This window comes from Homo sapiens, chromosome 19 (genome assembly GCF_000001405.40).
Source record: "Homo sapiens chromosome 19, GRCh38.p14 Primary Assembly".
NCBI lineage: Eukaryota > Metazoa > Chordata > Mammalia > Primates > Hominidae > Homo > Homo sapiens.
In genome coordinates, this window is record NC_000019.10 from 14,331,574 (window position 1) to 14,354,888 (window position 23,315).

Consider the following 23,315-nt stretch of genomic DNA (forward strand, 5'->3'; position numbering starts at 1 on the left):
GATCATGCCACTGCAGGCCAGCCTGGGTGACAGAGTGAGACTCCATCTCAAAAAATATATAAAATAATTAATTTTAAAAAATAAAGTTAGACTTACCATTCATCCCAGCAATTCCATTGCTATACATTTACCCAAGAGAAAAGAAAGAATATATCCATATAAAGACTTGTTGGCAAATGTTCATAGCAGATTTGTTCAATTATTGCTGAAAAACTGGAAACAATCAAAATATCTACAGACAGGAGAATATAAATTAAGGCCCATCCATAGGATGTAGTAATTCTTAGCAACAAAAAGGAACAAACTACTGATTCACACAATGTTGATAAATCTCAGAATGCATGATGCTGAGTGGAAGAGAGACCACACTGTGTGATTTTATTTATCTGAAATTTTGCAAAAGGCTCAACTAATCTAAGGTGATAGAAATCAGAATAGTAGCCAGGTGCAGTGACTCACGCCTATAATCCCAGCACTTTGGGAGGCCGAGGTGGGCAGATCACTTGAGGCCAGGACTTTAAGACCAGCTTGGCCAACATGTCAAAACCCCATCTTTACAAAAAATACAAAAATCAGCGGGGTGTGGTGGCGTGTGCCTGTAATTTCAGCTACTTTGGAGACTGAGACATGAGAATCGCTTGACCCTGGGAAGTGGAGGGTGCAGTGAGCTGAGATCGTGCCACTGCACTCCAGCCTGGGCAACAGAGTGAAACTGTCACACACACAAAAAGAATTCAGGATAGTGGGCCCCACCCTATGGCTCACACCTGTAATCTCAGCACTTTGGGAGGCTGAGACAGGAGGATCGCTTGAGGCCAGGAATTCAACATCAGCCTGGATAACAGCAAGACCCTGTCTGTCTCTACAAAAAATACAAAAATTAGCTGGGCTTGGTGGTGAGGGCCTGTAGTTCCAGCTACTCAGAGGCTGAGACAGGAGAATTGCTTGAGCCTAGGAGGTAGAGGCTTCGGTGAGCTATGGTTGCACCACTGCACTCCAGCCTGGGCAACAGAGCAAGACCCTGTTTCTAAAAAGAAAAGAAAAGAGGCCGGGCACGGTGGCTCACGCCTGTAATCCCAGCACTTTGGGAGGCCGAGGCAGGCGGATCACGAGGTCAGGAGATCGAGACCATCCTGGCTAACATGATGAAACCCCGTCTCTACTAAATAATACAAAAAACAATTAGCCGGACGTGGTGGCCGGCGCCTGTAGTCCCAGCTTGTCGGGAGGCTGAGGCAGAAGAATGGCGTGAACCTGGGAGGCAGAGCTTGCAGTGAGCCGAGATCGCACCACTACACTCCAGCCTGGCTGACAGAGCGAGACTCTGTCTCAAAAAACAAAAAACAAAAAAAAAAAGAAAAGAAAAGAAAAATCAGGCCGGGCCTGGTGGCTCACACCTGTAATCCCAGTGCTTTGGGAGGCCGAGGCGGGCGGATCATCTAAGGTTGGGAGTTTGAGACCAGCCTGACCAGCATGGTGAAACCCCATCTGTACTAAAAATACAAAAATTAGCTGGGCATGGTGGTGCATGCCTGTAATCCCAACTACTCAGGAGGCTGAGGCAGGAGAATCGCTAGAACCCGGGAGGCAGAGGTTGCGGTGAGCCCAGATCGTGCCATTGCACTCCAGCCTGGGCAACAAGAGCAAAACTCCATCTCAAAAAAAAAAAAAAAAAAAAAAAAAAATCAGTGGAGTGGCTGTGGGTGGGGAATGGATGAAGGGACATTGATTTCTGGGCCGTCTGAATGGAAGTGTTCCTTACTTTGATGGGGTGGGGACACGGGGTCGTGCATGCAAATAATATGTGCAGGCTTGGGACTTCACCGCATGTAAATTAACTCTCAATAAAGTTCCAGGAAAAGTAATTCCAATTCCAGCAACCGGATTTTGGGCTCAGTTCGGAGGCTAGCCTGCAAGCCTTGCTGGTGGGTGGCCTGTAGGGGTGACAGGAAACCCCCCGGGCCTCCGCTCTTTAGGGGAGGGGGAGCCTCGCCCTTGCCCCCCTCCGGGACGAGCGGGCAGATCTAAAAGCTTCCCTACCGCCGCCCAGGCGGTCGATAGCAGACTCCCAGGCTCCGTTTCTGCCTGCCCGGCAGCCCGGGCCCTTCCCGCCAGCCCAGCCCCTGGGAGGGGACCCGAGCCGGGCGGAGCCTCCTCCGGAGCCGCACGCCGGGCTCGGCTCACCCTCCCCGGATGCCGCTCCTCCTCCATCCCCAGAAGTTTCAGCCACTGAGATTCCCCTTGTCCCGGAGGCTGGAGGGGAAGACCCAGGCGGCTGCGCTTTGGAGGCTGGACCATCGTGGGGCTTGTCTGTGCCCACTTTTCCCCCATTCAAGAGTTACCACTGCCAGGCGCAGTTGCTCAGGCCTGCAAACCCAGCACTTTGGGATGGCAAGACAGGAGGATCGCTTGAGCCCAGGAGCTTGAGAACAGCCTGGACAACATGGTAAGACCGCATCACTATATTAAAAAAAAAAAAAAAAAAAAAAAAAAAAAAAAAAGGCTGGGCGCGGTGGCTCACGCCTGTAATCCCAGCACTTTGGGAGGCCAAGACCGGCAGATCACAAGGTCAGGAGATTGAGACCATCCTGGCTAACACGGTGAAAACCCGTCTCTACTAAAAATACAAAAAATTAGCCAGGCGTGGTGGCGGGCGCCTGTAGTCCCAGCTACTCAGGAGGCTGAGGCAGGAGAATGGCGTCAACCCAGGAGGCGGAGCTTGCAGTGAGCCGAGATCGCGCCACTGCACTCCAACCTGGGCGACAGAGCAAGACTCCGTCTCAAAAAAAAAAAAAAAAAAAAAAAAAGAGGCTAGGTGCGGTGACTCACGCCTGTAACCCCAGGAGTTTGTGACCAGCCCGGCCAACATGGTGAAACCCCGTCTCTACTAAACACACACACACACACACACACACACACACACACACTCTTAGCCGGGTGTGGTGGCGGGCGCCTGTAATCCCAGCCACTCGGGAGGCTGAGGCAGGAGAATTGCTTGAACCTGGGAGGCGGAGCTTGCAGTGAGCCAAGATCGTGCCATTGCACTCCAGCCTGGGCTACAAAAGCGAAACTCCGTCTCAAAAAAAAAAAAAAAAAAAAAAAATTCAAGCCTAGTGGATTGGAAATACCACTTTCCCTGTCTTCCTTCATCCTTTCCTTAGTCACTATCTAGACACCCTTTTTACTGGGAGTCTGGGTTACAGGGTTACATTAACCAGAACCTTAAAGAGAAAAATACTGTAATTGCAAAAACGACCAGCCTTTTAAAATGGAACAAAAGAGACTAGAAAATATCAGAACCCACTGCACAGTAGAAATATGACTATGACTTCCTGAAACTTTTGTTTTAGTTCCAAACCTGGGTAGAAGGCCTACGTTGCAATGTAAAAAATTAATTCTTTGATTTGTGATCAAAGTGCTTGAAAGATGTGGTTATATATGATGTTTGAAATTGGTTTTCTTTTTTTTTTAATTAATATATCACAGAGGTCACGCTGTGTCAATGAATATAAGTTTTAGCACTTGAATTTTCTTTTCTTTTTTTTGAGACTGAGCCACCTTATCACCCAGGCTGGAGTGCAGTGGCGAGATCTCGGCTCACTGCAACTTTCACCTCCTGGGTTCAAGCGATTCTCCTGCCTCACCTCCCAAGTAGCTGGGATTACAGGCACCCACCAACACATCCAGCTAATTTTTGTATTATTAGTAGAGACAGGGTTTCACCAAGTTGGCCAGGCTGGTCTCGAACTCGTGACCTCAAGTGATCCGCCCACCTCAGCCTCCCAAAGTGCTGAGATTACAGGTGTCAGCCACCACACCCAGCTTTTAATTTCCTTTTCTTTGTTGAGACAGGTTCTCATTCTGTCACCCAGGTTGGAGTGCAGTGGTGCGATATGCGCTCACTGCAGCCTCCACCTCCTTGGGCTCAAGCAATCCTCCCCCCTCAGCCTCCCAAGTAGCTGGAAGTACAGACATGTGCCACCATGCCTGGCTAATTTTTTAGTTTTTGTAGAGTTGGGATCTGGCTATGTTGCCCAGGCTAGTCTTGAACTCCTGGGCTCAGGCGATCCTCCCACCTGGGCCTCCCAAAGTGCTGGGATTACAGGCATGAGCCACCATGCCCAGCCCACTTTCATTTTCTACTATGCATGTAGCCAATCCCCAGAGCCCAGGTACCTCCATTGTTTCCAGCCTCTTTTAAAGCTTTTCTTAATGATGGTAACAGCAAGCATCCTCTATGTGCCTGGCAGAAGGCTAAGCATTTCACACACTTTGCCTCATGGAGTCCTCATGAGAGGCCCATTTTACTGATGAGAAAATCTGGGAACCGTAACAATAAACCATATGACTTAGGTCACACAGCTTGAAGGTGGTGAAGCCAGAATTCGAACCCTGGCTGTCTGATTCCAGAGCTCTTAACCACCCTGTGTTAGTTATTCTTTTCTTTTCTTTTCTTTTTTTGAGACGAAGTCTTGCTCTTGTCCCCCAGGCTGGAGTGCAATGGTACAATATCGGCTCACTGCAACCTCTGCCTCCCAGGTTCAAGCAATTCTCCTGCCTCAGCCTCCCGAGTAGCTGGGATTACAGGCGCCTGCCACCACGCCCGGCTGATTTTTGTATTTTTAGTAGAGACGGCGTTTCACCATGTTGGCCAACCTGGTCTCGAACTCCTGACCTCAGGTGATCTGCCCGCCTCAGCCTCCCAAAGTGCTGGGATTACAGGCGTGAGCCACCGTGCCCAGCCTATTCTTTATAGTTCTCCACCTATTTGACTGATTATATCCCTGACATAAATTCCTAGAGGTGGATTTGCTGGGTCAGAGAATCCACATGCTTAAAGGTTTAATACTAATATCTAGAACACCATCCCAAGAAAGTTGTATCGTGGCCGGGTGCGGTGGCTGACATCTGTAATCCTAGCACTTTGGGTGGCCGAGGAGGGAGGATCACTTGAGATCAGGAGTTTGAGACCAGCCTGGGCAAGTCGTGAGACCCCATGTTACAAAAAGTTTTTAAAAAATTAGCTGGGTGTGGTGACCTGTACCTGTAGTCAGCTATTTGGCAGGCTGAGGTGGGAGGATTCCTTAAGCCTAGGAGGTTGAGGCTGCAGTGAGCCGTGATTGTGCCACTGCACTCCAGCATGGGTGACATAGTGAGACCCTGTCTCAAAAAATTAAAAAAAAAAAAGTTGTGTCAATTTAAACTCCCATGACCGTGCTCAAGTGTGCATTCCCAAAACTTCACACACACTCATAAGCTTGACAAGGAAAAGTGATTCTTCAGCTGAACGGTCAGATTGAGCATCTTTACAGAGGTTTGTTAAGCTCTCACTCCTTTGTGAACCCCCTATTCAAGCCCTGTGCCAATTTCACATTTGGGATGTTTGTCTTTTTTTTCTTATTGATTCATATGTGCTTTTTGTATATTAAGGCTCTTAATGATTTGTCTGCCATATACGTGGCAAACAATCTAATCTCCCTTGATCTTTTCTTTTCCTTTTTTTTCTTGAGATAGAGCCTCACTCCGTTGCCCAGGCTGGAATGCAGTGGCACCATAATAGCTCACCGCAATCACTGCAGCATCAACCTCCTGGGCTCAAGCCATCCTCCTGCCTCAGCCTCCTGAGTAGCTGGGACCACAGGTGTGTGCCACCATGCCCAGATAAATTTTTAAAAATTATTTTTGTAGGGATGGGGTCTCACTATGTTGCCCAGGCTGGCTATCTCCTCTGATCTGGGACTCCAGCTAGATCTCCTTTTATTGCCCAACTGGCCTCAATGAACATTTCTCTTCTGTCTAGGCCTCATTGCAGGTTGCATTTTATTGGCGGTTCCTCCAGAAACAAAAGCAGAGACTTTGAGATCTTATGAACCTCAGTCTTACCCAGAACACTTGAAGAACCCTTCAGCTTTCCATGGCAAGAAAGCTCAGGCCCTGGGGCCAGAAGCCACGGCTTTGTGTCTGGGTTCTGTAGTTTACTGCTATGGCTCCAGTTTCTGATTCCTCCAAGTTAAGATGGGTTGGTAAATTCTGCCACGCAGAATGCGCTTCTAGCCACGCCCACTGTGTATCAAACCATGCCCACTGTACATAAACCACGCCCTCTCATCTAGCTACGCCCACCAATCGTCTAGCCACGCCCACCTTCGAGTGGAGAGGTGTGATTAGAGCATTAAAGAGAGAGGCGTGATTAGAGCATTAAAAAGAAGTGAAGAACCGAAATAGTGAGGATCCTGGGCCAGGGGGAGGAGGAGGGAGAAGATCCCCTGGCCTCGATGGCTGGCAATTCCTTCATGCCCCTAGCACCCACCTGGTTAAAGAAAGGATAGCTGGGCGCAATGACTCACTCCTGTAATCCCAGCACTTTGGGAGGCCGAGGCAGGCAAATCTTGAACTTGAGGCCAGGAGTTCAAGACCAGCCTGATCAACATGGCAAAACCCCATCTCTACTAAAAATACAAAAATCAGCCGGTGTGGTCGTGTATGCCTGTAATCCCAGCTACTCAAGAGGCTGAGGCACGAGAATCGCTTGAACTCAGCAGGCGAAGGTTGCAGTGAGCCGAGATCACACCACTTCACTCCAGCCTGGGCAACAAAGCAAGACTGTCTCAAAAAAAAAAAAAAAAAAAGAAAAGAAAAGAAAAGAAAAAAGAAAAAGAAAATAAAAAAAAGAAAGAAGGAGGCACCTGGCTACTGTATTCCACCTTTCTCCTCACCCACTCTTTTTTTTTTTTTTTTTTTTGAGACGGAGTCCTTCTCTGTCATCCAGGCTGGAGTACAGTGGCACCATCTCGGCTCACTGCAACCTCCGCCTCCTGAGTTCAAGCTATTCTCCTGCCTCAGCCTCCCAAGTAGCTGGGACTACAAACACGCACCACTACCTCCGGCTAATTTTTGTATTTTTAGTAGAGATGGGGTTTTGCCATGTTTTTCAGGCTAGTCTTGAACTCCTGACCTCAAGTGGTCCGCCCGCCTCAGCCTCCCAAAGTGCTGGGATTACAGGTGTGAGCCACCACGCCCGGCCCTCACCCGCTCTTTAAAATATCCCTACCAGGGTCAATGGTTTATCTGTGCCTCAGTGTTCCCATCTGTAAAATGAGGATAATTTTAAGGATTACCTGAGTTAGCATCTGTGAAGGGGTTAGAATGGTACCTGGCACATAGTAGGCACTCAATAAATGGCATCACTGATATGGTTCCACGGATGGTTGTATTATTAATAGGAATAAAGTGTGGGATGGAAAAACGTTGCTCTGGGCACCTGGAACCAGCCCCAGGGGCACGTGGGGCTCTACACAGGCTCTTTACCCCATGCCAGCGGGAGGACACTTTGGGGGGAAACTGAGGCACTGACAATCCCCTGCCTTCCCAGCCCTGAGTCCTTCTCACCCATGCCCAGAGCCTCAGAGGCCAGCAAGGTGCCCCAAGGGAAAGCGACACTTCTGAACTGCGCTGCCTGGCACAATTACCGTTTTCATCCTCATTAAACTACATTTTCATTCTAATTAGAGTTTCACCGCCTCCCAGAGAGAAGGGCCGATTACTTTTCAGCATCATTAACACTGGCTCCCTCCCCACTTTCCTCCTCCCCTGCCCAGGCTCCCACTACACCAGGGCATTCTCTCTCTCTCTCTCCTTCACCCCATGGACCAGAGAGAAGCAACAGAACATTTATTGTCGCCTACTGGGTGCCAAGTTGGATGCTAGGAACCTTCCCCCACAGCCTCTTCGCCTTATCTTGGGCTGGTCTAATTTTCTTTTTGTCCCCAACACTTACCCCTTTTTGTTTTTGTTTTGTTTTGTTTTGTTTTGTTTTGTTGAGACAGGGTCTTACTCTGTCGCCCAGGCTGGGGTGCAGGTGCGTGATCTCGGCTCACTGCAACCTCCGCCTCCCGGATTCAATCGATTCTCCCACCTCAGCCTCCTGAGTAGCTGGGATTACAGGTGCACACCACCACCTGGCTAATTTTTGTATTTTTTTTTAGTAGAGAGGGAGTTTCACCAGGTTGGCCAGGCTGGTCTCAAACTCCTGATCCCAAGTGATCCGCCTGTCTTGGCCTCCCAAATTGCTGGGATTACAGGTGTGAGCCACTGCGCCCGGCCCCTTTTGAACATGCTCTATGCTTTATTTGTTCTTTTTATCCTCTGTCTCCCCCTCCCCAGAATGTCAACACCCACTCATGTCCCCCACGCACTCCTGGGCACGCTGACCCCACAGCTTCTAAGAACCAGCTCCCGAGAAGTGGCTCTGGCTGCTGAGTGGGTGGAAAGTATGGAGAACAAACACTCTCCTGGAGCAGACCTTGAGCAATGGCTGATGGGAGTTGGTGGATAAATATCCCAGCTCCCTCGCCCCTAGGTGGGCACCCTCTGAAGAGTGTGCTCTATTTGATTTCAGCATTCTCCAGCATAATTGAGTTGCCCACAGTGGAAACTGGCTCATAAACACCCTTCATTGGCTACCTGCCCTTCCCTTCCTCACTCTCCTTCTCCCCTACCCATGCTTACTGAGATCATCTCTCAGATCAACCATATCCTAGATCTCCCAGCCCCTTTGGAGTTCAGGCAAACCAGAGAGGGACTCAATACCCAAGGAACAGGTTAAGAAAGCCTCTGCAAAGCCAGGCACGGTGGCTCATGCCCGTAATCCAGTGCTTTGTGAGGCAGAGGCAGGAGGATCATTTGAGGCCAGGAGTTCAAGACCAGCCTGGCCAACATGGTGAAACCTCATCTCTACTAAAAATACAAAAATTAGCTGGGCATGGTGGCTCATGCCTGTAGTCCCAACTAGTTGGGAAGCTGAGGCAGGAGAATCAATTGAACCCAGGAAGCAGAGGCTGCAGTGAGCCGAGATCATGTCACTGCACTCCAGTCTGGGCAACAAAGCGAGACTCCATGTCAAAAAAAAAGAAAAAAAAAAAAAGACCAGCCTGGGCATCATAGTGAGATCCCATCTCTAAAAAAAAGAATTGGCCGGGTGTGGTGGCTCACGCCTGTAATCCCAGCACTTTGGGAGGCCGAGGTGGGTGGATCACAGGAGATTGAGACCATCCTGGCTAACATGGTAAAACCCCGTCTCTATTAAAAATACAAAACAAAATTAGCAGGGTGTGGTGGCGGGCGCCTGTAGTCTCAGCTACTCGGGAGGCCGAGGCAGGAGAATGGCACAAACCTGGGAGGCGGAGCTTGCAGCGAGCCGAGATTGTGCCACTGCACTCCAGCCTGGGCGACAGAGCGAGGCTTCGTCTCAACAACAACAACAAAAGAATTAGCTGAGCATGGTAGTGCATGCCTATAGGCCCAGCTATTTGGGAGGCTGAGATGGGAGGATCACTTGAGCCCAGGAGTTTGAGGCTGCAGTGAGCTATGATCGCACCACTGCACTCCAACCTGAGTGACAGAGAGAGACCCCATCTTTTAAAAAATAAAATAAAACAAAATAAAGAAAGCCTCCGCACCTCTCTCACTCTGGACAAAACCACTATTATGACCAGAATGCAGCATCACTGGGCAGCTATGACCTATATTTGAAATACATTCTTAGAAAGGTTCCATTTGGAAGGGAGTGCAACGTGCACAGCACTTTTGGGGAGCAACTTGGCAGAGTGCATTAAAACATGAAGTGCAGGCCGAGTGCAATGGCTCATGTCTGTAATCCCAGCACTTTGGGAGGCTGAGGCAGGTGGATCACTTGAGGTCAGGAGTTTGAAGCCAGCCTGGCCAACATGGCAAAACCCTGTCTCTACTAAAAATACAAAAATTAGCCGGGCTTGGTGGTATGCGCTTGTAGTCCCAGCTACTCAGGAGGCTGAGACAGGAGAATCGCTTGAACCCGGGAGGCAGAGGTTGCAGTGAGCCAGGATCGCACCACTGCACTCCAGCCTGGGCGACAGTGTGAGACTCCGTCCCAAAAATTAAAAAAAAAAGTGAAGTGCAGCCAGGTACAGTAGTTCACGCATGTAATCCCAGCACTTTGGGAGGCCAAAGTGGGAGGATCGCTTGAGCCCAGGGGTTCAAGACCAGCCTGGGCAACATAGCAAAACCCCGTCTCTGCAAAACAATATACAAAATTAGCCAAGCATGGTGGTGCTCACCTGTAGTCTTAGCTACTTGGGAGACTGAGGTGGGAGGATCCCCTGAGCCCTGGATATTGAGGCTGCAGTGAGCTATGATTGCACCACTGCACTCCAGCCTGGACAACAGAGCAAGACCCTGTCTAAAAAAAAAAAAAAATTAAATAAATAAATAAAGACACCAGCCATATTGGATTTAGAGCCCACCCTAATCCAATGTGACCTCACATTAACTTAACTGATTATATCTGCAAAGACCCTGTTTCCAAATAATTCATTCAGGAGAACCCAGGGTTACGACTTCATTTTTTTTTTTTTTTGAGACACTCTCGCTCTGTCGCCCAGGCTGGAGTGCAGTGACGTGATCTCCACTCACTGCAACCTCTGCCTCCTGCATGCCACCATGCCCAGCTAATTTTTGTATTTTTGGTAGAGACAGAGTTTCACCATGTTGCCTAGGCTGGTCTCAAACTCTTGACCTCAAGCAATCCACCCACCTCAGCCTCCCAAAATGCTGGGATTACAGGCATGAGCCACTACACTCAGCCTTCTGTTTTTTGTTGTTTGTTTGTTTGTTTGTTTTTAATAGAGATAGGGTCTTGCTGTGTTTTTAATAGAGATAGGGTTGCCCAGACCAACCTCAAACTCCTGGCCTCAAGCAATCCTCCTGCCTTAGCCTCTCAAAATTCAAATTATAGCCTGGGAACAGGCATGAGCCACCGCACCTGAATCAACATATCTTTTTTTTTTTTTCCGAGACACGGTCTCGCTCTGTCACCCGGGCTGGAGTGAAATGGTGCGATCTCGGCTCACTGTAACTTCTGCCTCCCGGGTTCAAGCGATTCTCCTGCCTCAGCCTCCTGAGTAGCTGGGCCTACAGGCAAGTGCCACCACGCCCGGGTAATTTTTGTATTTTTAGTAGAGACGGGGTTTTGCCATGTTGGCCAGGCTGGTCTCCAACTCCTGACCTCTGGTGATCTGCCGGCCTTGGCCTCCCAAAGTGCTGGGATTACAGGTATGAGCCACCGTGCCCGGTCGATAGCCCCATTTTACAGACAGAAAACTGATACCCAGGTACATGGATTCCCTGTGAGCAGATCACACCGCTGGTAAGAGGCAGAGCTGGTCTCAGTGGCTGCTGAGCCCTTACGTGTATATGACATGAAACGCACATGGTCATTTATGTATTCCAACAACCTTGCAAGGCAGAAAATACCTTCATGTTATAGATGAGGAAACGGAGGCAAGGAGCGAGTAAGCAACTTGCCTGAGGTCAGGTGGGTGCCAGAGCAGGGACTTGAGCCTCGGTAGCTGACCATGGGACCCTCTGGGGGACCACGGGCTCCATCTCCTGGGCGTTGGAGTGAGGGTCTCTTTCAGCACAAATGTTCCATAGCCATAGGGAGAAACAGGGACTGCAGCCTAGTCCCCCAGGACTGGGCCAGGGAGAAGCCCTGACTGGTTAAGACCTTCCAGGTAGGCTGGGCGTGGTGGCTCACACCTGTAATCCCAGCACTTTGAGAGGCCAAGGCAGGCAGATCACGAGGTCAGGAGTTCGAGACCGGCCTGGGCAACATGGCGAGACTGCATCTCAAAAAAACGACAAAAGACGTTTCAGGTGGCGCTACCCATAGGCCCTGCTCTTGGTCCAGGCAGCAACTGCCACGCTCTGGGGACCCCAGTCAGCTTCTAGGTATTTCAGAGCCTGAGGATCTACCAGAGCCGCTCTCACCGCACAGGGGGTTTTTAATGAATGCTAATTAATATCTGTGTTCACAGAGCCAGCCAGGCCCCTGGGCCTGGAGCATCCACAGGAGGAAAGTACAAGAACCCTGGCACCCTGCCAAGCAGCAGGGATTCTTCAGACACCCAAGGGCTGGTTTGCTGGGAAGGACTCATGTGACCAGAAGGGGAAACTGAGGCACTGCTGAGCACCAACAGTCCTGGAGAGCTTTAAGAATGGTTGCCATCTGAGGCCAGGCATGGTGGTTTATGCCTGTAATCCCAGCACTTTGGGAGGCCAAGGCAGGCAAATCACTTGAGGTCAGGAGTTCGAGGCTGTCAGGCCTCTGAGCCCAAGCTAAGCCATCATATCCCCTGTGACCTGCATATACATCCAGATGGCCTGAAGCAACTGAAGATCCACAAAAGAAGTGAAAATAGCCAGTTCCTCCTTAACTGATGACATCCCACCATCGTGATTTGTTCCTGCCCAACCCTAACTGTTCAACTGACTTTGTGACAATATACCCTCCCCGCCCTTGCAATAATGTACTTTGTGATATTCCCCCGCCCTTATGAATGTACTTTGTAGGATACACCCTCCCCACCCTTGAGAAGGTAGATTGTAATATTCTCCCCACCCAACTTGAGAATGTACTTTGTATGATCCACCCCCTGCCTGCAAAAAAATTGCTCCTGGCTGGGCGCGGTGGCTCATGCCTGTAATCCCAGCACTTTGCGAGGCCGAGGTGGGTGGACCACGAGGTCAGGAGATCGAGACCATCCTGGCTAACATGGTGAAACCCTGTCTCTACTAAAAATACAAAAAATTAACCAGGCATGGTGGTGGGCGCCTGTAGTCCCAGCTACTTGGGAGGCTGAGCCAGGAGAATGGCGTGAACCTGGGAGATGGAGCTTGCAGTGAGCCAAGATTGCGCCACTGCACTCCAGCCTGGGCGACAGAGCGAGACTCAGTCTCAGAAAAAAAAAAATTGCACCTAACTCCACCACCTATCCCAAACCTATAAGAACTAATGATAATCCCATCACCCTTTGCTGACTCTCTTTTCGGACTCAGCCCTGCCTGCACCCAAAAAAAAGCTTTATTGCTCACGCAAAGCCTGTTTGGTGGACCCTTTTCACACGGATGCACGTGACAGAGACCAGCCTGGTCATCATGGTGAAACCCTGTGTCTACCAAAAATACAAAGATTAGCCAGGCATGGTGGTGCACACCTCTAATCCCAGCTACTTGGGAGGCTGAGGCAGGAGAATCTCTTGAACCCATGAGACGGGAGGCAGAGGTTGCAGTGAGCTGAGATTGTGCCACTGCACTCCAGCCTGGGCAACAGAGTGATACCCTGCCCTGTCCCCTTCCCACCACAAACACACAAGAATGGTTGCCATTTGAAAGGAACAAAGAAATGGGTATTGGAGACCCCAGAGCCATCAGCTTCCACAAGAGCTCTGGACCTCACCCCAGCCTCAGCTTCCTCATCAGTAAATGGGAACATGAATTCCTTTCCTTATATGTAGTAGGCATAAGAACTCATTAAGCATTTATGCATGTGAAATGCTTTGCAGATAATCAGTTTCCAATAGGTGTTAACTCCCTTTCCCTGACTGTGCCTCAGTTTTCCTCTTGGGCATACAAGAAGCTGGCAGGGCTTTGAGGCTACCCTCTGGGAGAGCTTTGGGCATGGTGCCTTGACTCAGACCTCGGAGCAAGTACGAAAAATCACTTCCGATCGGCCTCATTAATAACACAGTTGCTAATGTGGCAGTAAGACAGTTCCCTGGCCCCTGATTAAAAACAGAAGTTTCCCCCACATTCGTGGAGATGGAGCAGAAGGGAAAACAAAGACAAGCACACTTGTGCCAGATAAATACAGACGCAAACACATGCATGGCAGATAAACACACACTGGCACACCAAATATACACACAGCCGGCTGCAGACATCCGGGTGGGCTCGCACAGCCCGAAGAGACCAAAAGCCCGGGTGGGCTCGCACAAAAAGGAACAGAAACCGCTGCAGAGATGTCCCGCTGGACCCTGGCCACATCTGGGACCTGATCACTTCAGTGTACTTGAACAGGAGACAGAGTGTGGGAAATTGACATCCCTGGGAGTAGCCCTGAGCCAGAAATGGAATGAGTTGGTGGATAAATACCCCAGCTCCCTCCCCAGCATATGCCTAATCCACAGTCTCCCAGAGACCCCTGGAGGGATCAGGCCCCAGTTTTCCGTAGTGACAACCTGTTTGATATCCCTTGTCATCTCTCTTCTCCCCTCCCCAGGTTTCCTGTGTTCATTTCCCAAATAAACCACTTGCCCTCCAACCCTCTATCAGGGTCTGTTTCTGACCTGTATGTGTACCTCCCAGAAGTATACACAGCAATGGGTCTCAATGAGGGTAACTCTGTCACCCAGGAGACATTTGGCAATGTCTGAAGGTATTTCTGGCTGTAAAATTGGGGCAGGGGGCCAGACACAGTGACTTACACTTGTAACCCCAGCACTTTGGGAGACCAAAGTGGGCGGATCACTTGAGGTGAGGAGTTCAAGACCAGCGTGGCCAATATGGGGAAAACTCCATCTCTACTAAAAATACAAAAATTAGCCAGGTGTGGTGGTTAGTGCCTGTAATCCCAGCTACTCGAGAGGCTGAGGTGGGGGAATCACTTGAACCTGGGAGGCAGAGGTTGCAGTGAGCCAAGATCATTCCACCTCACTCCAGCCTGGGCGACAGAGTGAGACTCCATCTCAAAAAAAAAAAAAAAAAAAAAAAATGGGGGCAGGGGTACTCCTGGCATTTAGTGGGTCCAGTTCAGGGACGCTCAATGTCCTACAAGGGACTGGGCAAGGTGGCTAAGGCCTGTGATCCCAGCACTTCGGGAAGTCAAGGCACGAGGATCACTTGAGGCCATGAGTCCAAGGCCAGCCTGGGCAACATAGCAAGACCTCATCTCCCCTGCAAAAAAAAAAAAATCCTACAAGGCACAGAACAGTTCCCCAGAGCAAAAAATGATGTGGCCCCAAATGTCAAGAGTGCTGACATTGAGAAACCCTGGTCTACGGGAAGCCACTGGGCCCCACGTGGAAACAGCTCAGTGCACGCACATTATTCAAATGCAGACACAGTGGGTGCACCGGCAGCATTAGACCACACATACCCACTGTGCACCAAGTCCTTGAACTAAGGAAACAGCAGGATCATCCACACCTGGTGTGTTTTCCTACCAAGATGTATAAACCAGCAGAGGAGACCCCCAATTCCACCCAGATGTGGGGCCCTGCCCAGACCAGCTTTTTGTGCAACTCACAGACACCCTGGAAAGTGGTTCAATGACCATTAAAACCATTTTAGAGACGAGGCAACTGAGGCCCAGACAGGGTAAGTGTTTTGTTGTTGTGTTTTTGTTTTTGTTTTTTGAGATGGAGTCTTGCTCTGTTGCCCAGGCTGGAGTGCAGTGGCACCATCTCAGCTCACTGCAACCTCTGCCTCCTGGGTTCAAACGATTCTCATGCCTCAGTCTCCCAAGTAGCTACAGGCGCGTGCCACCACACCCAGCTAATTTTTGTATTTTTAGTAGAGACAGGGTCACTCCATGTTGACCAGGCTGGTCTCGAACTCCTGATCTTAAGTGATCCTCCCACCTTGTCCTCCCAAAGTGCTGGGATTATTGGCATGAGCCACTGTGCCCAGCCCAGACAGGAGAAGTTTATGACCCAGCTAGAAACCCAGAGACCCCTTAGGCATGTGTAGACATGCTTTTGAAGGCAAAGAGGGTAGGATGAAAGGAGACCCTCCCCACCATCATCTCGGAATTGAGATAAGGAGGGACAGGAAGGGCTTTAGCTTCCCAGAGGGAATCCTGTATCACTTTGGGTAACTAGAAAATCTATTGAAAAATGTTTTTAGGCTGGGCGAGGTAGTGCTCACCTGAAATCTCAGCACTGAGGGAGCCTGAAGCAGGAGGATGTCTTGAGCCCAAGAGTTGGAGACCAACCCGGGCAACATGGCAAGACTTCTCGTCTCTGCAATAAATAAAATACAATTTTTGTTGTTGTTGTTGTTTGTTTGTTCTTTTGAGACGAAGTTTCGCTCTTTTTGCCCAGGCTGGAGTGCAATGGCGTGACCTCAGCTCACTGCAACCTCTGCCTCCCGGGTTCAAAGGAGTCTCCTGCCTCAGCCTCCCGAGTAACCGGGATTACAGGCGCATGCCACCACGCCCAGCTAGTTTTGTATTTTTAGTAGAGACGGGGTTTCGCCATGTTGGCCAGGCTGGTCTTGAAATCCTGACCTCCAGTAATTCACCCGCCTCAGCCTCCCAAAGTGCTGGGATTATAGGCGTGAGCCATGACGCCCAGCCAAATACAATGTTTTTTAAACATACATTGTTTTTTAAACATTGGCTGACTCTTGGCCAAGCATCACGCCTGTAATCCCAGCACTTTAGGAAGCTGAGGCGGGCAGATCACTTGAGGTCAGGAGTTTCACACCAGCCTGGTCAACGTGGTGAAACCCTGTCTCTACTAAAAATACAAAAAATTAGCTGGGCGTGGTGGCGCGTGCCTGTAATCCCAGCTACTCGGGAGTCTGAGGCAGGAGATGGCTTGAACCCAGGAGGCAGAGGTTGCACTGAGCCAAGATCCTGCCACTGCACTCCAGCCTGAGTGACAGAGCAAAACCGTGTCTCAAACAAACAAACAAACAAAATGGGCTGACTCTGGACTCACACAGGCCTGGTGTCTCCAATCCCAGCCTTGCCATTTTCTGGCTCTATGAACCTGGGTGAGCCGCATCGCCTCCCTGAGCCTCAGTTTCCCCATCTGTAAAACGGGGATTCACCCATTCACCATTCCACAAATGTGCACCCAAGACCCACTGACACCAAGCGCTGCGCCCAGCTCTAACCTATATAAAGTTAAGGAAGAACACGAACATGGTAAGTGCGTCTCCCCCTCCCCCAGGCATGGAGCTGCTGAACTAGTTTTGGGAATGGAATCAGAGCACGCGTGGACAGATGGAGGGAGCCCTCAGCTGCCCGGACTCTGCAGCCCACCACCCCCACTCTTCTCAGATCCCCCTCGTTTGACCAAAAAGCCCCTCTACCACGAGGTAGGACCCCAAGCAGGATCCCAGGGACTGGCGTCCAAATCCGGGCCAGGAACTGACCCCAGCAGCCAGACCCGGGACGGGGCTAAAGCTCGGGTTTTTCCACCTCCGCTTCCCGCCACTGCAGCGCGGGGAGCGAGCGCCACCTGTGGGCCTCCAAGGGGAGGTGCGTGCGACTCCCGGGGAGGTGGACGGTCGCCCCCGTTTCTCCCCAACCCGGGGGACCTCGGGCCCTCCAGGAGTTTCGGAAACAGCTCTCATCTCTTAAATTCTCCTCCACAACCCACTTTTCCCGGCTGCCATTTCCCAGCTAGAACTCGTCGTCCATGCATTCATGCAACATTTATTGAGCACCTACTGTGTGTATTGAGCAAACCTAGATCATTGCTCTAGGTTTAGAGTACACAGAAGACAGAATGGGGCTGGCTCAGGCCTGTAACCCCAGCCACTCAGGAGGCTGAGGTGGGAGGATCACTTGAGCCCAGAAGATGGAGGCTGCTGTGAGTCATGATGGCACCATTGCACTCCAGTCTGAGAAACACAGCGATACCCTGTCTCTAAAAGTAAAAAGAGGCCAGGTACAGTGGCTCGGCCAGGCACGGTGGCTCACGCCTGTAATTCCAGCACTTTGGGAGGCCAAGGCGTGCGGATCACGAGGTCAGCAGTTCGATACCAGCCTGACCGACATGGTGAAACCCCCTCTCTACTAAAAATACAAAAATTAGCCAGGCGTGGTGGCGGGCGCCTGTAATCCCAGCTACTCAGGAGGCTGAGGCAGGAGAATTACTTGAACCCAGGAGACGGAGGTTGCAGTGAGCAGAGATCGTGTCACTGCACTCCAGCCTGGGCGACAGAGCAAGACTCCATCTCAAAAAAAAGAAAAAAAATGGAAACAAAACAGATAAACCTCCATGCCCTTCTGGAGCTTACAGTCCAAGGGAAGAGAGAAGAGAGGAGGAAGAGGACAACAGGCTGCAAGATCATTGCTGATGGCAGTAAGTGCAGTAAGTGTTCTGAAGGAGAAAGTATATACAGGGATGTCACTGAAGCACCTGCTGTGGGTAGAGTGGGTGGAGTGGGCTCTGAGGAAGTGACGCTTATCCTGAGGCCTGAGAAGAATAAAGCCCCAGCCATGCCGAGTCTGGAGCCAGGATTTCCAGTAGAAGGCGCAGCCAGCGCAAAGGCCCTGTGGCAGAAAGGAGCTCGGGTGTTGAACAGTGGGAAAGGAGGTCACAGTAGCCAGAGCCGAGAGATGAAGAAACAGGTGGGCTGCGATGTCAAGGCCTATTTTGGAGACAAATCTGATCTCTCACTCCCCCTGAGGAGTCACCTCCTAAAAGCCCGAGGGGAGAAGAAGGCTCACACTGAGCTAAAAGCCCTCCAACACCACCAGCTGCACCCTTCTCGTCGCCCACCCACAGATATGGTGTCGCCCACAGAAAGAAGCCCTGGCCCATGCACTGTCCCCCTACCCACCCCACCACTCTCCCAGGACTTTGCCTCTGACCATATTGACCCCAATTATGCAGTTAAGGTGCACGTGGTCGGCTCTGCTTGCAAAGTCCCCTTCTTACCCCCTGCCCATCTCCCTGGGAGACACAGGGAACCATGCAATGTGCCTTCCAAGACCAATGCTTGGCCAGGCGCGGTGGCTCATGCCTGTAATCCCAGCACTTTGGGAGGCCGAGGTGGGCGGATTGCCTGAGGTCAGGAGTTTGAGACTAGCCTGGCCAATATGGTGAAACCCCGTCTCTACTAAAAATACAAAAATTAACCGGGCGTTGTGGCAGGCACCTGTAATTCCAGCTACTCGGGAGGCTGAGGCAGGAGAATCACTTGAACTTGGGGGGCAGAGGTTGCAGTGAGCTGAGATTGTGCCACTGCACTCCAGCCTGGGTGAAAGAGTGAGACTCCGCCTCAAAAAAAAAAAAAAAAAGTTGCCAGCCCCACACACGGACCTCAGCCCGGCCTGCCCCCTTTGCCTTCATACTCCCGAGAGCAGTCTCCCCATGTGGCCTGACAACCCCAAAAGGGACTATGCAGGGAGGAGATCTGGTTTCATGAACATTGCTCTTGGGATCCCTGCCTGGGGGTGGCCACGAGAGAGGCTGTGGGTCTTGCGCAGCCACAGAAGGGGAGCAGAGCCCTGTCCCCGACTCCCCGCCAGTGCAGAAGGGGTACACCCTCTCTCCACAGCCTGGCCTCAGTTCTGGGGACTGCCTGGCTATTGGGGAGAGGGCAGAGCCTCTTGGAGCTTGTAATTAAGGCTTCAGAGGCACCGACTTAATTACTACCTTGTGAAGGGTTAATTACCCCTAATTGTTCAGGAATCAGGCAATTTTTGTGCCTTCAGAGAATCAAAATATTTTCCCTTCCAGAAGTGCCTCCTCCCTTTTGCTTTTTCTAATTTCCCTGCAAGGAGGGGCACGATGGGCTGGGTGGGGTCCGGAGGATCGGAAACCACCAGTCTCCCCTCAGAGAACACACTTGCCGGGCCTGCCGCAAGCAAGAGCGGGATTCAGAGGAGAGAGGTTCCCAGCCAGCTCAAGGCAGGAAGACTTCCTGGAAGAGGTGGCCATGGGTTGGTCTTAAGGACCCCAAGTCAACCTCCCAGGTAAGCCAAGGGCTCCTAGAATTCTGTGCCACCTAGAGGGTAGCAGGGCCTGGGGAAGCTGGAGCTGATGGTTTCAGGCATGGGAATGCTGCCTGGAGTCTCAGTTTCCTCACTTGTTAAATGGGGCCAGGGCTGCGATGAGCCAGGCAGAGTGAGCAGGGAATAAAGGCTGCCCTCGGAGATGAAATCCTGGTGGGCACCGAGAAGACATCACTCATCTGCAGCTCATCTAGCTTGTTGCTCCTCTGCCTGGGTTTGTAGTAATGTAAGAATTAGGGCCCACCCACTTCCCAGCCCTCATCTCCCTGCCTTCCTCCTAACCCCCTTGATGGGCTTTGAACACACCGCACTGGTTCCCAACTCAGAACTTTTGTCCCTGGTGTTCCCCCTGCCTGGCTTACTTTCCCCCCTGATGGTGCTGTGTCTGAGAAGCTTTTGTCCTGAAATGTCACCTCCTCCAGGGAGCCTTCCCTGACCACCCTCTCTCCCCTGAACCACTCCTTCCTGGGAATTCTCCAGCTTATCACACTTCTTCTTTTTTTTTTTTTTTTTTTTCAGGTGGAGTCTCGCTCTGTCGCCCAGGCTGGAGTGCAGTGGCGTGATCTCTGCTCACTGCAAGCCCCTCCTCCCAGGTTCACACCATTCTCCTGCCTCAGCCTCCTGAGTAGCTGGGACTACAGGCACCCGCCACCACACCCGGCTAATTTTTTGTATTTTTAGTAGAGACGGGGTTTCACCGTATTAGCCAGGATGGTCTCCATCTCCTGACCTCGTGATCCGCCTGCCTCGGCCTCCCAAAGTGCTGGGATTACAGGCGTGAGCCACTGCGCCCGGCCTTCTATCTCTCTTTTGCTCTCTCTCTCTCTCTTTTTTTTTTTTTTTTGAGATGGAGTCTCACTCTGTCACCCAGGCTGGAGTGCAGTGGCATGATCTGGGCTCACTGCAACCTGTGCCTCCTGGGTTCAAATGATTCTCAGGCCTCAGCCTCCCGAGTAGCTGGGATTACAGGCGCACACCACCACACCTGGCTAATTTTTTAATATTTTTAGTGGAGATGGGGTTTCACCATGTTGGCCAGGCTGGTCTCGAACTCTTGACCTCAAGTGATCTGCCCACCTCGGCCTCCCAAAGTGCTGGGATTACAGGCATGAGCCGCTGTGCCCGGCCCTTGCTCTCTGTTTTTACAGAGACAGGGTCTCACTCTGTTGCCCGGGCTGGAGTGCAGTGGTATGCTCATAGCTCACTACAGCCTTGAACTCCTGGCCTCAAGCGATCCTCCAAAGTAGCTGGGACTATAAGCACGCACCACCACATCTAGATAATTTAAAAATAGTTTTTTGCAGCGATGGGGTCTTGTTATGTTACCCAGACTGGTCTCAAACTTACGGCCTCAAGAGATCCTTCTGCCTCTGCCTCCCAAAGTGCTGGGATTACAGGCATGAGCCACTGCCCCTGGCCACACTTTTACCTCTCTTATGTAAATTGCCTTGTTTAGATCCTGGCTGGGTGACTCAGGGCCCAGTATCCTCATCTGTGAAATGGGGGTGATGACAACAGCCTCCTCAGAGTTCCAGACCTGACTGTGGTGGCCGTGGGGGTCCGGTGGGTTGAGACCTTCTTCTATGGCCAAGGAGTGGACTTGGGGGAGCAGGGCAAGTGAGCCAGGAGCAGGGGCCAGAGGGCCGGAGCAGGGCAAGTGAGCAAGGCTCAAGTGATGGGTCAGTCAGAAGGGGTTAGAGGACTGACATGGTGTCTCACGCCTGTAATCCCAGCACTTTGGGAGGCTAAGGCGGGCAGATCACTTGACATCAGGAGTTCGAGACCAGCCCGGGCAACATGGTGAAAGCCCGTATCTACTAAAAATATGAAAATTAGAGGCCGGGCGCGGTGGCTCATGCCTGTAATCCTAGCACTGCGGGAGGCCGAGGTGGGTGGATCAGGAGGTCAGGAGTTTGAGACCATCCCAGCCAATGTGGTGAAACTCTGTCTCTACTAAAAATACAAAAATTAGCTGGGCATGGTGGCATGCGCCTGTAGTCCCAGCTACTCAGGAGGCTGAGGCAGGAGAATCGCTTGAACCCGGGAGGCAGAGGTTGCAGTGAGCCTAGATTATGCCACTGGACTCCAGCCTGGACTCCACTGGCAGCCTCACAGAGGGAGACTCCATCTCAAAAAAAAAAAAAAAAGAAAGAAAGAAAGAAAAAAAGAAATTAGCTGGGCATGGTGGCGGGCACCTATAGTCCCAGCTACTCAGGAGGCTGAGACACAAGAATCACATGAACCCAGGAGGTGGAGATTGCAGTGAGCAAAGATCGCACCACTGCACTCCAGCCTGGGTGACAGAGCGAGACTCTGTTTCAAAAAAAAAAAAAAAAAAAAAGGGCGTGGTTAGAGAGGAGGCAGACTTGGGAACAATGGGTATACTGTTATGACCTCATTTTATAGATGGGGAAAGTGAGGCCCCAGAAAGGTGAAGTCACTTAGCGAGGGCACGCAGCCCTCTAGTGGGGGAGCCATAATTCATTCCCATACTGGGCAGAGTCCCCCACACAGAGTGGGGGAGGGGATGGCAGGGGAAGGCGGAGGAGGGAATGATGGGTGGAGAGCTGTTTGGCAGAAAGGTGAAATACGGTTTTGATTCAGCTGTGTTGGAGGACATAGTGACTCTGCCAAGATATAGTAGAGATTAAATTAGGCGCGCTGGCTTACGCCTGCAATGTCAGCATTTTTGGAGGCTAAGGTGGGCCGATCACTTGAGGTCAGGAGTTTGAGACCAGCCTGGCCAACATGGCTAAACTCCGTCCCTACTAAAAATACAAAAATTAGCCAGGCATGGTGGCAGGTGCCTGTAATCCCAGCTACTCGGGAGGCTCAGGCAGGAGAATTGCTTGAACTGGGAGGCAGAGGTTGCAGTGGGCCAAGATCATGCCACTGCACTCCAGCCTGGACCAGAGTTGGTCCTGAAAAAAAAAAAAAAAAAAGAGAGAGAAAGGAGGAAGGAGGGAGGGAGAGAAGAAAGAAGAGAGTGAGCAAGGGAGGGAGGGAGAGGTGGTTGATTGGGGAAGACTATTCTAGTTGCAAGTAAAAAATCCAAACCCAAACTGGCTTAAAGAAAAAATAATGATAATTTATTGGTTTGTGTCATTGAAAAGTTTAAGATATGTTGGCTTCAGGGACAGCTGGATTCACGGGCTCAAACAAAGTAATCTGGCTGGGTGTGGTGGCTCATGCCTGTAATCCCAGCAGTTTGGGAGGCCAAGGCAGGAGGCTTGCTTGAGCCCAGGAGTTTGAGACCAGCCCGGGCAACATAGTGAAACCTCATCTCTATAAAAAAAAATTAAAAAATAAGGAGGGAGGATCACTCGAGCCTGGGAATTGAGGCTGCAGTGGAACCATGATCGTGCCACTGCACTCACACCTGGGTGACAAAGTGAAGCCCTGCTTCAAAAGAAGAAAATAATAATTCCTGGGCTCCCTCTGATTGGACAGTTTGGGGTCACATGTCATTTAGGAACCAATCACAGTGGCTAGAAAGGATAGAATGAGTCCATGAGCCACTCCTGTTGATGAGGGTGGGGATGGCCCTACAGACCTCAGTAGACAAAGAGTGTAGGCAAAAGTGACAATTTATTCAAGAAACATTTATTTATTTATTTATTTTGATTTATTTATTTTTTTGAGACACAGTCTCGCTCTGTTGCCCAGGCTGGAGTGCACTAGCGCAATCTCAGCTCACTGCAACCTCCGCCTCCTGGGTTCACACAATTCTCCTGCCTCAGCCTCC

General features: G+C 50.9%; 2 long non-coding RNA genes across 2 annotated transcripts in view, besides 7 other annotated features; one reads left to right on the forward strand and one right to left on the reverse strand.

Annotated features, from left to right (window-relative positions):
- The window catches only part of LINC01841 (long intergenic non-protein coding RNA 1841), a 58,533-nt gene that overhangs the window by 26,116 nt on the left and 9,102 nt on the right, over positions 1–23,315 (reverse strand). The gene's annotated exons all lie outside the window — the stretch shown is intronic.
- LINC01842 (long intergenic non-protein coding RNA 1842) lies at positions 2,170–12,340 on the forward strand. The gene is made up of 2 exons (NR_134916.1): positions 2,170–2,446; positions 11,853–12,340. It is a non-coding gene; the product is annotated as a long intergenic non-protein coding RNA 1842 (long non-coding RNA).
- Positions 2,192–2,867: an enhancer, noted in NCBI's record as "H3K27ac-H3K4me1 hESC enhancer chr19:14444577-14445252 (GRCh37/hg19 assembly coordinates)". NCBI's record gives its function as "activates a minimal SCP1, AML or CMV promoter by ChIP-STARR-seq in naive H9 embryonic stem cells {active_cell/tissue: H9 hESC(naive)}" and the evidence as "EXISTENCE:reporter gene assay evidence [ECO:0000049][PMID:30033119]".
- Positions 6,010–6,210: a silencer, noted in NCBI's record as "peak3382 fragment used in MPRA reporter construct". NCBI's record gives its function as "represses an SCP1 promoter by STARR-seq MPRAs in K562 erythroleukemia cells {active_cell/tissue: K562}" and the evidence as "EXISTENCE:reporter gene assay evidence [ECO:0000049][PMID:32103011]".
- Positions 6,907–7,407: an enhancer, noted in NCBI's record as "H3K4me1 hESC enhancer chr19:14449292-14449792 (GRCh37/hg19 assembly coordinates)". NCBI's record gives its function as "activates a minimal SCP1, AML or CMV promoter by ChIP-STARR-seq in naive H9 embryonic stem cells {active_cell/tissue: H9 hESC(naive)}" and the evidence as "EXISTENCE:reporter gene assay evidence [ECO:0000049][PMID:30033119]".
- Positions 7,408–7,908: an enhancer, noted in NCBI's record as "H3K4me1 hESC enhancer chr19:14449793-14450293 (GRCh37/hg19 assembly coordinates)". NCBI's record gives its function as "activates a minimal SCP1, AML or CMV promoter by ChIP-STARR-seq in naive H9 embryonic stem cells {active_cell/tissue: H9 hESC(naive)}" and the evidence as "EXISTENCE:reporter gene assay evidence [ECO:0000049][PMID:30033119]".
- Positions 16,741–17,619: an enhancer, noted in NCBI's record as "H3K27ac-H3K4me1 hESC enhancer chr19:14459126-14460004 (GRCh37/hg19 assembly coordinates)". NCBI's record gives its function as "activates a minimal SCP1, AML or CMV promoter by ChIP-STARR-seq in naive H9 embryonic stem cells {active_cell/tissue: H9 hESC(naive)}" and the evidence as "EXISTENCE:reporter gene assay evidence [ECO:0000049][PMID:30033119]".
- Positions 18,418–18,919: an enhancer, noted in NCBI's record as "H3K4me1 hESC enhancer chr19:14460803-14461304 (GRCh37/hg19 assembly coordinates)". NCBI's record gives its function as "activates a minimal SCP1, AML or CMV promoter by ChIP-STARR-seq in naive H9 embryonic stem cells {active_cell/tissue: H9 hESC(naive)}" and the evidence as "EXISTENCE:reporter gene assay evidence [ECO:0000049][PMID:30033119]".
- Positions 18,920–19,419: an enhancer, noted in NCBI's record as "H3K4me1 hESC enhancer chr19:14461305-14461804 (GRCh37/hg19 assembly coordinates)". NCBI's record gives its function as "activates a minimal SCP1, AML or CMV promoter by ChIP-STARR-seq in primed H9 embryonic stem cells {active_cell/tissue: H9 hESC(primed)}" and the evidence as "EXISTENCE:reporter gene assay evidence [ECO:0000049][PMID:30033119]".